This window comes from Homo sapiens, chromosome 14, assembly GCF_000001405.40.
Source record: "Homo sapiens chromosome 14, GRCh38.p14 Primary Assembly".
In the NCBI taxonomy this organism is placed as follows: domain Eukaryota; kingdom Metazoa; phylum Chordata; class Mammalia; order Primates; family Hominidae; genus Homo; species Homo sapiens.
Window position 1 is genome coordinate 91,562,396 of NC_000014.9, and position 18,302 is coordinate 91,580,697.

The 18,302-nt window shown below is 45.5% G+C and overlaps 1 long non-coding RNA gene across 3 annotated transcripts in view, besides 1 other annotated feature; it reads right to left on the reverse strand.

The window, feature by feature from the left end:
* The window catches only part of LOC101928957 (uncharacterized), a 57,307-nt gene extending 41,880 nt beyond the window's left edge, over window positions 1–15,427 (reverse strand). For 2 of the 3 annotated variants that reach the window (XR_944152.4, XR_002957619.2), the window contains exon 1: window positions 12,008–13,471. This is a non-coding gene — a long non-coding RNA (uncharacterized LOC101928957). Of the gene's footprint in view, window positions 1–12,007; window positions 13,472–15,278 lie in introns of those variants that run through there. The other variant, XR_007064306.1, reaches the window with a different exon arrangement.
* Window positions 7,494–7,995: an enhancer, noted in NCBI's record as "NANOG hESC enhancer chr14:92036233-92036734 (GRCh37/hg19 assembly coordinates)". NCBI's record gives its function as "activates a minimal SCP1, AML or CMV promoter by ChIP-STARR-seq in naive H9 embryonic stem cells {active_cell/tissue: H9 hESC(naive)}" and the evidence as "EXISTENCE:reporter gene assay evidence [ECO:0000049][PMID:30033119]".
* Window positions 15,428–18,302: the final 2,875 nt, after the last annotated feature.

Here is an 18,302-nt window from a genome sequence, read left to right on the forward strand (position 1 = left end):
GAGAAATAGGAATGCTTTTACACTGCTGGTGGGAATGTAAGTTAGTTCAACCATTGTGGAAGACAGTGTGGTGATTCCTCAAAGATCTAGAACCAGAAATACCAGTTGACCTAGCAATCCCATTACTGGGTATGTACCCAAAGGAATATAAATTATTCTATTATAAAGATACATATACACATATGTTTATTGCAGCACTATTCACAATAGCAAAGACACGGAATCAACCTAAATGCCCATCAGTGATAGACTGGATAAAGAAAATGTGGTACATATACACCATGAAATACTACACAGCCATAAAAAGGAACGAGATGTGATCACATCCTTCGCAGGGACACGGATGGAGCTGGAAGCCATTATCCTCAGCAAACTAATGCAGGAACAGAAAACCAAACACCACATGTTCTCCCTTATAAGTGGGAGCTGAACAATGTTGCCATTGCTTTTGGTGTTTTAGTCATGAAGTCCTTGCCCATGTCTGTGTCCTGAATGGTATTGCCTAGGTTTTCTTCTACAGTTTTTATGGTTTTAGGTCTAACATTTAAGTCTTTAATCCATCTTGAATTAATTTTTGTATAAGGTGTAAGAAAGGGATCCAGTTTCAGCTTTCTACATATGGCTAGCCAGTTTTCCCAGCACCATTTATTAAATAGGGAATCCTTTCCCCATTTCTTGTTTTTGTCAGGTTTGTCAAAGATCAGATGGTTGCATATGTGTGGTGTTATTTCTGAGACCTCTGTTCTGTTCCATTGGTCTATATATCTGTTTTGGTACCAGTACCATGCTGTTTTGGTTACTATAACTCTGTAGTATAGTTTGAAGGCAGGTAGCATTATGCCTCCAGCTTTGTTCTTTTTGCTTAGGATTGTCTTGGCAATGTGGGCTCTTTTTTGGTTCCATAGGAACTTTAAAGTAGTTTTTTCCAATTCTGTGAAGAAAGTCATTGGTAGCTTGATGGGGATGGCATTGAATCTATAAATTACCTTGGGCAGTATGGCCATTTTCACAATATTGATTCTTCCTATCCATCAGCATGGAATGTTCTTCCATTTGTTTATGTCCTCTTTTATTTCGTTGAGCAGTGGTTTGTAGTTCTCCTTGAAGAGGTCCTTCACATCCCTTGTAAGTTGGATTCCTAGGTATTTTTTTCTCTTTGTAGCAATTGTGAATGGGAGTTCACTCATGATTTGGCTCTCTATTTGTCTGTTATTGCTGTATAGGAATGCTTGTGATATTTTCCACATTGATTTTGTATCCTGAAATGACTGAAGTTGCTTATCAGCTTAAGGAGATTTTTTTTTTTTTTTTTTTTTTTTTTTTTTTTTGAGACAGAGTCTCACTCTGTCGCCCAGGCTGGAGTGCAGTGGCGCAATCTCAGCTCACTGCAAGCTCCGCCTCCCAGGTTCACGCCATTCTCCTGCCTCAGCCTCCCAAATAGCTGGGACTACAGGCGCCTGCCACCATGCCCAGCTAGTTTTTTGTACTTTTAGTGGAGACAGTGTTTCACCATGTTAGCTAGGATGGTCTCGATCTCCTGACCTCATGATCCACCTCAGCCTTCCAAAGTGCTGGGATTACAGGCGTAAGCCACCGTGCCCGGCCAGCTTAAGGAGATTTTGGCCTGAGATGATGGGGTTTTCTAAATATACAATCATGTCATCTGCAAACAGGGACAATTTGACTTCCTCTTTTCCTAATTGAATACGCTTTATTTCTTTCTCTTGCCTGATTGCTCTGGCCAGAACTTCCAACTCTATGTTGAATAGGAGTGGTGAGAGAGGGCATCCTTGTCTTGAGCCGGTTTTCAAAGGGAATGCTTCCAGTTTTTGCCCATTCGGTATGATATTGGCTGTGGGTTTGTCATAAATAGCTCTTACTATTTTGAGATACGTTCCATCAATACCTAGTATATTGAAAGTTTTTAGCATGAGGGCTGTTGAATTTTGTTGAAGGCCTTTTCTTCATCTATTGAGACAATCGTGGTTTTTGTTGTTGGTTCTGTTTATGTAATGGATTACGCTGATTGATTTGTGTATGTTGAACCAGCCTTGCATCCCAGGGATGAAGCCAACTTGATCGTGGTGGATAAGCTTTTTGATATGCTGCTGGATTCAGTTTGCCAGTATTTTATTGAAGATTTTTGCATCAATTTTCATCAGGGATATTGGCCTGAAATTTTCTTTCTTTTTTTTTTTTTTTTTTTTTTTTGAGATGGAGTCTTGCTCTGTTGCCCAGGCTGGAGTGCAGTGGCACCATCTCCGCTCACTGCAAGCTCTGCCTCCTGGGTTCACCCCATTGTCCTGCCTCGGCCTCCTGAGTAGCTGGGACTACAGGCGCCCGCCACCATGCCTGGCTAATTTTGTTTTTGTATTTTTAGTAGAGACAGGTTTTCACCATGTTAGCCAGGATGGTCTCGATTTCCTGACCTCATGATCCACCTGCCTCAGCCTCCCAGAGTACTGGGATTACAGGCGTGAGCCACTGCACCCGGCTGAAATTTTTTTTGTTGTGTCTGCCAGGTTTTGGTATCAGGATGATGCTGGCCTCATAAAATGTGTTAGGGAGGATTCCCTCTTTTTCTATTGTTTCAACTGAGGGGCGGTTGCAGTGAACCGAGATCACACCACTGCACTCCAGCCCGGATGACAGAGTGAGACTCTGTCTCAAAAAAACAAAACAAAACAAAAAACAAAACATGACTACCATGCATAATGAGAATTGACTGTATTTAGTGTACATTTTTTAAAAGATGAAATGAAGGGGAAATTATCTTCTGTTTTCCGTGTTGAAATACTTGAGTGCATCATTAGGAGCTATATGTTTATCTTATTCACAATAATCTTATGAATCTTAGTTTTCTTTTTATTTTTCTCCAGCTTTATTGAGTTGTAATTGACAAATAAAGTTGTGTCAGTTTAAGGTGTACAATATGTTGTGAAATGATGACCATGATCAAGTAAGTTAACATGTCTATCACTTCAACTAGTTATGGGTATTCTGAGTTTTGGTTTTCGTGGCGAGAACATTTAGCTACTAAGATTTTAATTATGCCTTAATATATTATCAATACTTTCAAAATAATAGGAAAAAAGGGGCCTCTTTGTAATATTTCTGAACTAAAAAGAATGCCTCGGGAGTGCAAGTTACAAACTCAAATGCCTGCAGGGCCAAGCAGTAATTTAGCACTGTCAGTCAGGTGTTTTGGAATCACCCCTTTGTGGAAGTTTCATTACCGGGCACTGCAATTTTCAGTGTTTGCAACTAAATTGGAATGATTTGTTACAGTGTTTGGGCCGGACAGAGTAGTAGGCCTATCAGTTTATGGCCTCTACTCTAGAATTTTGCCACTGCATATAACGTTGACTTTTTTCTTTTTTTTTTGAGACGGAGTCTCACTCTGTTGACCAAGCTGGAGTGCAATGGTGCCATCTTGGCTCACTACAACCTCCGCCTCCTGGGTTCAAGCAATTCTTGTGCCTCAGCCTCCCAAGTAGCTGGGAATACAGGCACATGCCACCACACCCAGCTAATTTTTGTATATTTTGTAGAGACAGGGTTTCGTCATGTTGCCCAGGCTGGTCTTGAACTCCTGGGCTCAAGTGATCCTCCAGCCTCTGCCTCCTAATGTGCTAGGATTACAGGTGTGAGCCACCACGCCCAGCCTCATGCTGACTTTTTAACATAGTTTTCTTCTCATTATCTTTTTTTTTTTTTTTTTTTTGAGACAGTGTCTCAATCTGTCACCCAGGCTGGAGTACAGTGGCATGATCTCGGCTCAGTGCATCCCCCGCCTCCCGGGCTCAAGCAATTCTCCTGCCTCAGCCTCCTGAGTAGCTGGGATTACAGGCATGTGCCACCACGACGCCTGGCAAATTTTTGTATTTTTAGTTGAGACGGGGTTTCACCATGTTGGCCAGGCTGGTCTCGAACTCCTGACCTCAGGTGATCCGCCCATCTCGGCCTCCCAAAGTGCTGGGATTACAGGTGTGAGTCATGGCACCTGGCCAGTAGTCGTGTTTCATAAGGTCACTGTGATCACTGAATTTTCTCACAGGAGAAATACAGGGTTAGAATCCTGAGAGCCTCTGTCCCAATATTTTTGTAAACTGATCAATACGTAGCCTTGTCTTATGTGTGGTTCTGTTTAAAGACACTTATTTAATACATGTTGTTCATTCATTAACTCTTGTTTTACAGGTAGTTCTGTTTAAAGACATCTTGGTTAATATATGTTGTTCATTCATGAACTCCTGGCCAACAGCACTCTCACACCCAAATGAAGCTTATCTCACACACATATTTTCTCTGTAAGGCACATTGCAACTTTCTTGTACTTGAAACACTAGATCGCCCTTCAAGCACCATGCTTGGGGGCCATTTCACAGGCAAAATCACCACCCAAACGCACAAAATAGGAACAATGTGGCACTAAATAGATTTTGTAAAGAACATTTGTTTGCAGTGGGAGAGTTGAAACAAGAAGGCAGCGTTGTCACCTTGTTTCAACTCAGCTGGGAATGTGCCAGGTGGGCAACTCAAATTTTTGCCACTCTTGAGCATATGTTTGTCCATGAATGACCAGGAAAGTGACCCAAGTTTTGTTTTTGAGATAGGATCCTGCTGTGTTGCCCAGACTGGAGTGCTGCAGTGAGAGCATGGCTCAAGATAAAACTTGAATGGGTAAGGAATTGCTTCCTACAGATGAGCAAAGAAAGTGGTTACTTTTTTCTTTTTTCTTTTTTTGAGACAGGGTCTTACTCTGTCACCCAGACCGGAGTGCAGTGGAGCCATCATGGCTTACTGCAGCCCTGACCTCATGAGCTCAAGTGATCCTCCTGTGTCCTGAATTTATTCCTTCCAGTGGGTTCTTGGTCTCGCTGATTTCAAGAATGAAGCTGCGGACCCTTGCCGTGAGTGTTACAGCTCTTAAAGATGGTGTGTTGGCTGGGCGCGGTGGCTTACGCTTGTAATCCCAGCACTTTGGGAGGCCAAGGCAGGCAGATCATGAGATCAGGAGATTGAGACCATCCTGGCTAACATGGTGAAACCCTGTCTCTACTAAAAATACAAAAAATTAGCCAGGTGTGCTGGCGGGCTCCTGTAGTCCCAGCTACTCGGGAGGCTGAGGCAGGAGAATGGCGTGAACCCGGGAGGCGGAGCTTGCAGTGAGCCGAGATCATGCCAGTACACTCCAGTCTGGGTGACAGAGCAAGACTCCATCTCAAAAAAAAAAAAAAAAAAAAAAAATGCTGTGTCCAGAGTTTGTTCCTCCAGATGTTCAAATGTATCCAGAGTTTCTTCCTTCCAGCAGGTTCTTGGTCTCACTGACTTCAGGAGTGAAGCCACGGACCTTCGTGGAGAGTGTTATAGCTCTTAATGATGATGCAGACCCAAAGAGTGGGCAGCTGCAAGATTTGTTGTGAAGAGCAAAAGAACAAAGCTTCCACAGCATGGAAAGGTACCCAAGCGGGTTGCCACTGCCGCTGCTGGCTCAAGTGGCCACCCTTTATTCCCTTATTTGGCCCTGCCCACATCCTGCTGATTGGTCCATTTTACAGAGCTCTGATTGGTCCATTTTACAGAGTGCTAATTGCTCCATTTTACAGAGGGCTGATTGGTGCGTTTACAAACCTTTAGCTAGACACAGAGTGCTGATTGGTGCATTTTTACAGAGTGCTGATTGGTGCAATTACAAACCTTTAGCTAGACACAGACTGCTGATTGGTGCATTTACAATCCTCTAGCTAGACAGAAAAGTTCTCCAAGTCCCCACCCGACCCAGGAAGTCCAGCTGGCTTCACCCCTCACTCCCACCTCAGCCTCTGGAGAAGCTGGGATTACAGGTGTGCAGTACCATGCCTGGCTAATTTTTGTAGAGTTGGGGTTTTACAACATTGGCGATATTACAGTTATGCTTTGATGTATTCACACAATAGAATGTCAAGGATAGTTTTCTTTAAGTCAACAGAATAATAAATTTTCTCATTCTGTCTGCTCAGCCATACATAGGCACAGCTTAGTTTAGTCTTTACATAGACAAGACCCCCGTATATGAAAAACTTAAAGACAGTGCCTTCCTCTGCTTGCTTCCTGAGGATGCCCTACTCTGTAAAGAAGTAGCTTTCAATAAAATATCTCCTTCTCACCCTTCCAGTGAGAGATCCAAGAACCCTCTCTGGGGGTCTGGATGGAGACCGCCTTTTCCAGTAACATTTTCACCTTCTCTTTAATAGAGCGACTGAACACAGGTGTTCTTCTAGGTAGAATCACCTTTCCAGGATGTCTTGGGCCCTTTACGGGTAACTCAACATAAAATTAGATCTACAGGTGCTCGGGGATCTGGAACCATGGAGGTGGCTCCTCACAGCTCCACTAACAGAGCCTGCAGGAGACCTGGGGTTGGCTGATGGCCACCCTCTGCCCCCTGCAGCATTCACTGGAGACAATGCCCTCTGCAGGCCATTCCCAACCAAGGACTGAACCCTGCAAGGGACTTAGACCCTGGCCATTCCTGCTGGACATGAGACTCCTCTCATGTCTACTCGTTGACCAAGACTTTATTAGGAGTTTTTTAGGGTTACTCTGCTGCTCTTGCTCCCTTTTGCCTCTATCCTCCCTCTTGTACATCTAATTCCATCTTGGCAGCTGCTTCTCAGATGACCCAGGCTACAACAGGACCCTAAATTCAGCTTTTAGATTTACAAGAAAATCTATAAATTCCTACAGTTAATTCCCTGGACCCCAGAACTTCAGGGCGATTAGCATAGAGGAGTGCATGAGCAGATAGGCTTGGATCGTCTGCTAACTGTGGGCTGTATGATTCAAGACTCATCAGAAGTTACCAACTGTCTAAACAGAACTTCTTCACTGATAATAATTCCTATATTAATAACATTTTCTCCTTTTGGTGTCTTCCTAAATCATTACCACAGAACCACTTACTTGTTTTTACAGTGGTCTAAGGATCAAACATTTTCCCTTACAGGAATTTACAAAAAAGTTCAACCTGTTCCTTCCTTCCTTCCTTTCTTCCTTCCTTCCTCTTTTTCCTCCTCCTTTTCTTTCTCTTTCTTTTTCTTTTTTCTTTCTTTCTTGCTCTCTTTCTTTCCTTCTTTTCCTCTTTTTTTCTTCTCTTTCTCTCTCCCTTCTTCTCTTTCTTTTCTTTTTCCTTCTTTCTTTTCACCTACCTTCCTTCCTTTTTCTTTCTTTCTTTCCCATAATACTTGCTGTCATTTAGAATCCCCAACCTGGCATTTTTAATTTCATGGTTGCATTAAAAAAATTTTTTTAAAAATATTTTCATCTTTCTTTGGCTCCCTGGTCAGAGGAAAGAATGAACAAGGTTGAATTTTGGACATCAAATTCTGTTTTTTTCTTGGTTGACTCTGTTGCAGATAAATAGATTTGAGATATCTGTTCCTCATTCATGCAACAGTTGCTTGATAACTACTATATGTAGGGAACTAGTTGCTGAAAGAAAGGACCAGATGAAAAAGAAATATATAGGAATTTCTGAGAAGGAAAGGGAGGATTACATTAAATACAATAGCTGTTAGTCTATTCAAAATGCTCAAAATATCTTAGACTGGGTGGCTTATAAACAATAGGAACTTATTTCTCACAGTTCTGGAGGCTGGGAAGTCCAAGATCAAGTTGCCAGCAGGTTTGGAATCTTGTGAGGGCCACTTCCTTCATTAAATGGATGTCTTGTCTTTGTAGCCTCATTTGGTGGAATGGGCAAACAAGAGGTTAGTGACCTTCCTCAGGCCCCCTTTGCAAGAGCACTAATCCCATTCTGGAGGGTGGGGCCCTGTGACCTAATCACCTCCCAAAGGCTCCACCTCTTAATCCTATCACAGGGGATTATGTTTTAACATATGAATGGTGCGGGGGGTGGGGGTGAGGGACACAGACATTCAGACCATAGCACTAACTTGCCTTGGTTATATTTCAACTCCATATAAAAAACCAGATACTTCCAAAACTGAGGCTGTGGCATATAAAGGTGACAATTCCATCTTTGTAAACAAAAACAACTAATTTTTGAACGTGCTACTCATTTTAGATAGATCAATCTGTGTCAGTGGGGTAATATTTTTCTTTTAAATCCCAAAAGAAAAAACATGCCCTTTATTGTAATATAATATAATTAAAGCAGAACAGAATTCACCAGAAGGAATCAGTATCATTAGATACTTCACTGTAACAGTAGCTTCTGAGATTTATGAATGGCATGATGATAAATCAGAAAGTGAGCGCTGGCTCCCTCTCTTTTTTAAAGTACATTATTTTTATTTTTATTTATTTTTGAGACAGGATCTCACTCTGTCACGCAGGCTGGAGTGCAGTGGTGAGATTGTGGCTCACTGCAGTCTTGACCTCCCAGGCTCATGCAATCCTCCTGCCCTCGTCTCCCAAGTAGCTGGGACTGCAGGTGCACATCACCATACCCGGCTAATTTTTTAATTTTTTTGTAGAGACGGGATCTGGCTTTGTTGCCCAGGCCGTTCTTGAACTCCTGGCCTCAAATGCTCCTCTTGCCTGGGCCTCGCAAAGTACTGGGATTACAGACTTGAGCCGCTGCTAACTCTGGCTCTATTTTATTCAATCCTAGGAAACTTTCATGAGATATAGCTAATTACAATCACTTATGCAGAGACAGAATCTATCATAATAGATGCTTCTATAAATAGTTCTAAATTGAGGACCAAAGAGGGGAAAGAGCATTAAAGAGAGAAGGACCAACCACAGTCTGACCCAAAAATATTTTTCCAAGAGAAGAACCTAAGCCATGGTCAGATAAGTTATCTGATTATTTTTCTCCATTGTGATACTCATAATATCATTTAAAATTATTATCAGTTTCTTTGCTACAAGCCTAACTGCAAAATTATTTAGAATAGTTAAGTGATAAGCACATAGTATAGGAAGGGCTCATTAAATGTTTGTGGTATCTTCTTTACCTTTAAAGATAAATGCTTGAATTAAAAGGATAAGCATGAATTTGGCCTTCTTTATTTTTGCTGTAAATTTACAACATAGGAAAAGCATGTGAGTATGAATGATACTAAAGTATTTATAATAAAGCTTATTAATTTTCTGTTCTTTAATCTACATATGATCATGCATAATAATGAATATCTTTAGGTGTGGAGGGCAGAGAATAGAGAACCAACCTAGGAAATTTATAGAGGCTGTTAAAGAAGACATCAACACAATCAATGCATAGATAATATTATTCAAATACATCATCAAAGGAAACTTGTCTGAGTTTCAAAAAAAAAATCTAAAGATACACAAAGTGCTCCCTGGATTCTAAGTGACACCCACTAAAAATAATTTTAATTACAAGGGTAAAGGGAAAAAAAAACTATCAGTATCTGGCAAAAACATGAGTTATTCTCAAAGGAAAGAAATCATTGCTTTCTCATTTTTTCTAGGACAAGAAAAATATCTTTTTAAACCCATATTCTTAACAAAGCAGTTCAGATGAAATATCTTTTTGTTTTTGGTGACCACTATGAAAACAAGCAAATGAAGAGAAAACCTGAACTTGCTAATGGTGTAAACCTTTAACAGGTAGGGACTCTGGGCAAAGATTATTTTAACTAAACAAATCAACATAAAGGCCATTATTGCCAGCTAACATGTTCAGTAATTGCAAGCATCTTTAAGAAAATTCACATTGAACAAAACCAGGAGGGTTTTCTTTTGATTTTTGCTTTTTTTTTAATTTTTTTTTTTTCTGAGACCGAGTCTCACTGTGTCACCCAGGCTGGAGTGCAGTGGCGCGATCTTGGCTCACTGCAAGCTCCGCCTCCCAGGCTCATGCCATTTTCCTGCTTCAGCCTCCTGAGTAGCTGGGACTACAGGCACCCGCCACCACGCCTGGCTAATTTTTTGTATTTTTAGCAGAGACAGGGTTTGACCATGTTAGCCAGGATGGTCTCGATCTCCTGACCTCGTGATCCGCCCACCTCGGCCTCCCAAAGTGCTGGGATTACAGGCATGAGCCACCATGCCCAGCCTTTTTTTTTTTTTTTTTAAATTAGAAAACACCCACATATGGCCAGACATGGTGACTCGTACCTGTAATCCCAGCACTTTGGGAGGCCAAGGTGGGCAGATCACCTGAGGTCAGGAGTTCAAGACCAGCCTAACCAACATGGTGAAACCCTGTCTCTACAAAAATACAAAAATTAGCTTGGCGTGATGGTGGGTGCCTGTAATCCCAGCTATTTGGGAGGCTGAGGTGGGAGAATCCCTTGAACCTGGGAGGTGGAGGTTGCAGTGAGCCGAGATCGTGTCATTCCACTCCAACCTGGGCCACAGAGTGAGACTCCGTCTCAAAAAACAAAACAAAACAAAACAAACAACCTATATTCAAATGCAAAGGAAAGAGGGAAAGACTTTTAAAAAGAAAAAAAAAGACCAACATATAATAAATTACGAATGTCATATGGCAGCAAGCTCTTCATGTTACTTTCCTTTCCATTTAGACCCAGTTAATGTATCTATATTACGTATGTTTAATGTGTATGGACACACACACACACACACACACACACACACACCATAAAAGATTAAGAAGTATGCCTAAATTTTAAGTGGTATGATTTATATTTTTTTCATACTTTTATTTTCTAAATTTTCCAGTTATTACTCTTAGAAAGTTAGAAAGTTAGAGACCAAAAAAACCAATTCCCTTATAATTATATATATATAATGATTCCCCAAAGCCTCTTATTTTGAGTTCTTTCTTTGTATTCATTTTCAGGCAATATTTATTGAGTGTCTAGTCTGTGCCTGAAATGTATTTTATATGAACTTCTCTTATAACAAGATGTTCTTATGTCTTATTTATATTCTCATAGTCTCCCCTGAACCTGATTATAAACAGCATTTTTCTTTTTCTTGTTTTTTCTTTTTCAATCATTTGTTGAATATCACCCATGTGTTGGTCACTCTTTTAGGAAGGCATTAAAAAGAAATGTGACAGAAAGTTAGCACTGTCCCTATTGCAGGGGAGAGATAAGCATGTAAATACCAAAACCGGGCCAAGAAGCTTGATATAGAAATGTGCACCATGCTACCCCACTCAAAGGAGAGAAAGAACTAACTATCAGAGAGAACTGGGGAGAAACTTTTCTACAGAGGTGACATTTCAACTAGGCCTTGAATGACAGGTCAAATGATCTTAGATGAAAAGGGAGGAGGGGGCTGGTGAGAAGGAAGAGGCTGGCAGGGGAGGAGGAGGCTGGCAGAAGAGGGGGAGACTGGCAGGGAAGAGGGGGGTGGCAGGACAGAAGGTTGGCAGGGAGGAGGAAGCTGACAGGAGAGGAGGAGGTTGGTAGGGAGAAAGAGGCTGGCAGGAAGGAGGAGGCTTGCAGGGAGCAGGAGGCTGGCAGGAGAGGAGGAGGTTGGCAGGGAGAAAGAGGCTGGCAGGAAGGAGGAGACTTGCAGGGAGGAGGAGGCTGGCAGGAGAGGAGGAGGTTGGCAGGGAGGAGGAGGCTGGCAGGAGAGGAGGAGGTTGGCAGGGAGGAGGAGGCTGGCAGGAGAGGAGGCGGCCGATGGGGGAGGAGGAGGCTGGCAGAGAGAAAGAGGCTGGGCAGGGAGGAGGAGGTTGGCAGGGAGGAGGCGGCTTGCAGATGAGAAGGCTGGCAGGCAAGCGCTGCGGGCGACCGTGGGTGGTGGGCGGGTTTTCCCCTCAGGCAGGTGCAGGTCCTAAGGGGGCGGGCCCCGTTGGGTGCTCATGACGCAAAGGTCCCTAGGATTTGCTCCTCACAGCGGGAGCGCCCTCGAGAGGAACCGCGTCTGCGCCTCCCGAGACGGACCACTCGGGCGCCTCCGCCCCGCGCCCTGCCTCGGGGGCCGCCCCGCGCAGTGAGCTCAGCGTGGAGGCGGCAGCGCCCTCGCCCTTCCGCGCCCTCCCAGCGCGGTCTCTCCTCGTCCGCGCGCCCCGCTCCCCAGGCGTTTCTGGGATGCTGGTTGGCCGGGCACTTACGTGTTTCAAAGCGGGTGACAGCCGCCGCTCGGGTGTACTGTTCGCTCTCTCCCGCCAGGATCCGAGTTCTTGTTCCCCGACAACTCGTGGGAGTGCCCGCTCCAGCGTGGTTTCTCCTTCTCCGGGAACGGCCCCAGTGAGCAGAAGAGCTGGGTCTGGATTGCATGGCTCTGTCTCCCAGCCATGGTTGACTAATTTAGGGACACTCATGGCTCTGGACTCCTGCAGCCAGCCAGACGCCTGTCTTTGGATTTTTGACTTGGATGAGAGCCCTGTAGCTGGAGGTTGTGGTTGAGAGGGGAGTTTAGTCACATGATGGCAGTGCCTACAGAGATCTGGGTAGGAGGTTCTGCTGCTGTGGCCCCCTCGGTGATGCTGTGCTCAGAGGCCCCTGAGGGTGATGTGAGATGGGGAGGGAGCTGAGGGATGTAGGTAGTCAGTGACTGCTGAAAGAAGAGGAATGTTAGCATTTCTGGGTTAGGTGGTTGCTTCTGATGGCACTGAGACAGGCAAATCCCCAAATTACTGATCTAGACAAAATGGTCTTAGTCAGAACGATTTTGTGACTCTTCTGAATGAAGCTCTCATTGCCCGTGGCCAAACGCTGAGATGAAAATGCAGTTCAGAACCGATTTTGTGGATTTCTTAAGTCGAATACCAGTTGAGCTCACAGCTCAAGCAGATTTCTTTGATGAACATCAAAGTTGCAGATTGTGTTTCCAAAGATGACTACAACAATCCCCCCCAAACGACAGGATTTTTTGCAATGTCCCCTTGCCAGTCAAAAGAGGGGGAGTCTACTTCTCCTTCCTTTGAACCTGGGCTGTCCCTGCAACCACCTTGATAGTAGAATGAGGCAGAGGTGACATTCCGGGGGCAGCCAAGACCAGGCATTAAGGAGACTCCAGCAGCTCCCGTTTTTGTGTTCTGGTGGAAGCACATCGCCATAGAAGTCTCCTTACCGCTGAGGCAGGAGAATAGGGTCTGGAGGCAGGGAACTTAAGCCCAATTCATGCCGACTTCCTAAAGCTGAATCAAGGGAAAACACCAAGGTCTGGGGGCAGGACTCTGAGGCCAATTCACGATAATTTCCCAAAGCTGGACCAAAAGGGGAGCACCTGTGTCTGGGGCAGGGAACCAAAGAACAATTAATGCCAACTTCCTAAAGCTAAACCAAAAGAGAAAACCCCAGCTCCCCACGCCCAGTAACAAAGGATCAAAGGCCACTCTCCCTACAGCCCTCCGGCTTCCACCACAGCTCAGATGGAAAGGGAGAGTGCCCTGGATTGGCCGCGGGCCGAGCAGGGGCCATGCCTTCATCTGCCTAGGGCTCTAATTCACCCCAGCCTGTAATTAGCCACGGACCAAATCCTTCATCCAGATCAGGGGTAACTGATAGGAATCTCCAAAGGAGGGCTTAAAACCCAGAAAACTTTGTAACTGGGCCCTTAAGCTGTGTGCTTGGGCCCACTCCCACCCTGTGGAGTACTTTCTTGCTTTAATAAATATCTGCTTTCATTGCTTCCTTCCTGTATTTCATTCCTTTGTTACTTTGTGCATTTCGTTCGAGCAATGACTCATTCTGTCGCCCAGGCTGGAGTGCAGGGGCATGATCACGGCTTACTGCAGCCTCAACTTCCTGGGATCCAGTGATCCTCCCACCCCAGCCTCCCGATTAGCTGGAACTATGGGTGTACACCACCACGCCTGGCTAATTTTTTTTGTGTGTGTGTGGCTTATTTTTTTTTTTTTTTTGGTGGTTTATTTTTTTATTTTTTTGGTGGTGGTGGTGGGGGGCAGGTCTCACTATGTTGCCCAGGCTGGTCTCGAATGCCTGGCCTCAAGTGATCCTCCTGCCTTGGCCTCCCAAAGTTTTGGGATTACAGGTGTTTGCCACCAAGCCTGGCTGGCCACATGATTTGATTTGGGTGATAAACTACAAGCAGATGTGTTGTACAGCTGCCCAAGTGGCCCCTGCTCTTTGGCCTGTGTCCTAGAATGAGAGACATATGGAGCCACCACAGCTGATCGGCTGAACAGTGGGCAAGAAATGTTTATTGTTATAAGCAACTGAGAGTGAGATCTGAGGGTTGTTACTGCTATAAAAACTGAGTAATAAGCCTGGCCAACCAAGTATCACCTGAATTCTTCCTACAGTGAAATCTTTGCCATTTCCTAATGTGCTACCCTTGCAGCCGAAACCTCAAAATCCTTCCTGTGTCCCACTGTTTGTCAAGTGGTAGATTCTAAATCAAAATAAACTGAAAGGTGTTAGGCATCAGAATAGAAAAGAGCTACATTGTAGAATTGCAGTTTATAGAAATGTGTTCACTGTATTGCCTAAAGTCTGGGGAAATTTTTACAGGCCAAGTTTGTAAGAATTCCTGGAGCCCAGGAAGTTGAGGCTGCAGTAAGCTGTGATCATGCCCCTGCACTCCAGTCTGGGCAACAGAGTGAGACATTGCATTGAACAAAACGCACAAAGTAACAAAGAAATGAAATACGGGAAGGAAGCAATGAAAGCAGATATTTATTAAAGCAAGAAAGCACTCCACAGGGTGGGAGTGGGCCCAAGCACACAGTTTGTAACTGGCCCAAGCCCGGTACAAAGTCTTCTGAGTTTTACACAGAAACTCTCTGCGCTGTCTTCACAACTTTTCTGTAAATCTTAAACTATTCTAACATTTTTAAAAGTTTATTAAGAGAAAAAACCCAGGCTTTAGATTCTGGAGCCTATACTTTTAACCACTGTGCTATACTCTATCTCTAGACCCCTGGTCCAAGGGAAGCTCGGAGGAGTTGACAAACACTTGTTTCCTAGGTCCCCAGAATGGTCCTCATTCCTGCCCATGACAAAAACTGATTGTTTAGACTTTGCTTTGTTTATCTGACATTCTGTAGTGTTTGTTCAGTGCATCTCCCTTGTTATTTTAATTAGACAAAAATCTATTACTTACGACCTAAAAACATCAGCAGGGGCAGCAGCATCAATTACACCCAACACTTAACACACTCACTGTAAATGGGTCCTGTTCTAAACATTTTACACGTATTCATTCATTTGATCCTCCTGAGAACGCTGTTAGTGATAGGGACAGGAGGCAGAGAAATTCTAAGCAGAAAAGGGCAGAGTCCCTGGAGAAGCCCCACCCTCAAGCTTGGAACCATGGCCTAAAGTGAGATTCTTGTTTTCCCGCTCAAATATTGCCTTTTCCAAAACCACACATGGCCTGCCACACCCCCAATCCTGTACCCATTAAAAACCCCTTACCGTACTGGCAGAGAGCAGAGAAGGGGAGAAGAGGAGAAGCAGCTGGACGTTGGAGACTGTGGTCTGATGTCAGAGACAAGCAGCTTGACTTCAGAGGGATGGTTTTGAGAGGTGACAACGTGCTGGTGGCCCTCACTCGCTCTCAGCGCCTCCTCGGCCTTGGCATCCGCTCTGGCCACGCTTGAGGAGCCCTTCAGCCCACTGCTACACTGTGGGAGCCCCTCTCTGGGCTGGCCAAGGCTGGAGCCGGCTCCCTCTGCTTGAGAGGAAGTGTGGAGGGAGAGGCGCGGGTGGGAACCGGGGTTGGGCGGGAACCGGGGCTGTGCAAGGCGCTCACCGGCCAGCGCGAGTTCCAGGTAGGCATGGGCTTAGCGGGTCCCGCACTCGGAGCGGCTGGCCTGGGACAGTGAGAGGCTTAGCACCCGGGCCAGCAGCTGCGGAGGGGGTGCCGGGTCCTCCAGCACTGCCAGCCCACCCACGCCGCGCTTGAATTCTCGCAGGGCCTCAGCCGCCTCCTGGCAGGGCAGGGCTCAGGACCTGCATCCTGCCATGCCCAAGCCCCGCCCCCCCCCCCCCCCCCCCGCCCCATGGTGGGCTCCGGCACAGCCTGAGCCTCCCTGAGGGGCACCACCCTGTGCTCCATGGCGCCCGGTTCCATGGACCGCCCAAGGGCTGAGGAGTGCAGGCCAGCGGTGCGGGACTGGCGGGCAGCTCCGCCCGCGGCCCTGGCGTGGGATCCACTAGGCGAAGCCAGCTGGGCTCCTGAGTTGGGTGGGGACTTGGAGAACTTTTATGTCTAGCAGCAGGATTGTATATGCACCAATCAGCACTCTGTGTCTAGCTCGGGGTTCCTGCATGCACCAATCAGCACTCTGTATCTAGCTAATCTGGTGGGGACTTGGAGAACCTTTATGTCTAGCTAAAGGATTGTAAATACACCAATCAGCACTCTGTGTCTAGCTCAAGGTTTGTAAACGCACCAATCAGCACCCTGTGTCTAGCTCAAGGTTTGTAAACACACCAATCAGTGCTCTGTGTCTAGTTAATCTAGTGGGGACTTGGAGAACTTTTACGTCTAGCTAGAGGATTGTAAATACACCAATCAGCACTCTGTGTCTAGCTCCGGGATTGTAAACGCACCAATCAGCACCCTGTCAAAACGGACCAATCAGCTCTCTGTAAAATGGACCAATCAGCTCTCTGTAAAATGGGCCAATCAGCAAGATGTGGGTGGGGTGAGATAAGGAAATAAAAGCAGGGTGTCCAAGCCAGCAGCGGCAAGCTGCTCTGGTCTCCTTCCATGCTGTAGAAGCTTTGTTCTTTTGGGGTTCACAAGAACTCTTGCTGCTGCTCACTCTTTGGGTTCTACACTGCCTTTATGAACTGTAACACTCACGGTGAAGGTCTACAGCTTCACTCCTGAAGCCAGTGAGACCCCTAACCCAGCGGGAGGGACGAACAACTCCAGATAGAAGAAACAAACAACTCCAGACACGCTGCCTTTAAGAGCTGTAACACTGACTGCAAAGGTCTGCAGCTTCACTCCTGAAGCCAGTGAGACCACGAACCCACCAGAAGGAAGAAATTCTGGACACGTCTGAACATCAGAATGAAAAAACTGTGGACACACCATCTTTAAGAACTGTAACACTCACGGCGAGGGTCCATGGTTTCATTCTTGAAGTCAGCGAGACCAAGAACCCACCATTTCCAGACATAGTTTGACGGTGTTGCTTCAGAGAGGAGTCTGGCCAGGGATGACCAGACTCCAGGGGAAGATCACCTTTGTGCTCCAGTCCCCTTCCAACTCCCCTTCCTGCCGAGAGCCACTTCCATCAGCAATAAAATCCTCCACATTCACCACCCTTCAATTTGTTCATGCAAACTGATTTTTCCTGGAAACTAAACAAGAGCTTGTGTACCAGGGGTGTGGACACTAAAGGCTGTCATACTGACCCTCTGCCCTCGCTGGCAAAGAGCAACTGCCTCCAACAAAAAGGCAGAGAGCCCACTGAGCTGTTTACCACCTAAGCCATCCATGGACAGCAGAGTTAAAAGAGCACTGTAACACATGCCCTCTGGGGCTTTGGGGATCGTGGATACTCCTCCCTACATGCTGTCTTGGGGCCTATGTGGAGTTTTGCTCCTGCTGCCACCCAAAAGTGCTCACTCTGGCTCCTACACCCGCTCACCTGCATGCTCCCCCTCTCATGAGGGGTTGAGAGCTGCAGGCTGAATAAGCGAGGCATCCGTGTCACGAGGCCTGTTAAGGGGTCAAGGAAAATTTCCTGTTTCATTAGGTAGGTGTTACTGTCTTCCCATTTTACAGGTGAAGCAACTCATGCACGAATAAATTAACTTCCCAAGGTTACTTATCTAGTAAATGGCAAACCCAGGAGATCTGGCTCTGGAGTCTGATTCTCTTGCCTACCTGCCGCACTGCCCTCTCTAAGGAATTTCAATGATAGATCTCAGACCTGGATTGGATGCCTTCCTTTCCTTATGTTGTCAAAACTGTGCTCCCCTTCTGAGCTTTTCCAGGGAGCATGAGGCTCTGATCTCTGAATGTTATGGTCATCTTCTGACTATCTGGGGACATTTACTTTGAGAGCACACAGAGATATAGCTTTTGGAATTCTCCATGCTGCATGTAGGTTTATAAACCAATACCCTGCTCAGACACCGCGTTCTTCTAACACCCTAATGATGGGGTCACATTTCTCTCTTTAGGTACTACAATCTGGTTTTGAAGTTGCCCAAAGAAACTTGAATGGCTTCCTCTTTCATTCCCACAAGGCTCTGAAAACACTGCTGCTGATCCGCTGTCTTCACTCCTATCTCACCCTGGCATAACTGCACTCTACTCAAACTCTATCTGGAAGGAGCAGAGCTCAGGGGTTCTGACCCCACAGAATGGGCTCCAGGCACTAAGAGCTGAACAACACAGAACACCTGTTCCATGTCGAGTTGGTTATCATTTTATACTTTTCTAAAAACCTCAAGGAAGATCTTCAACATAAGCCC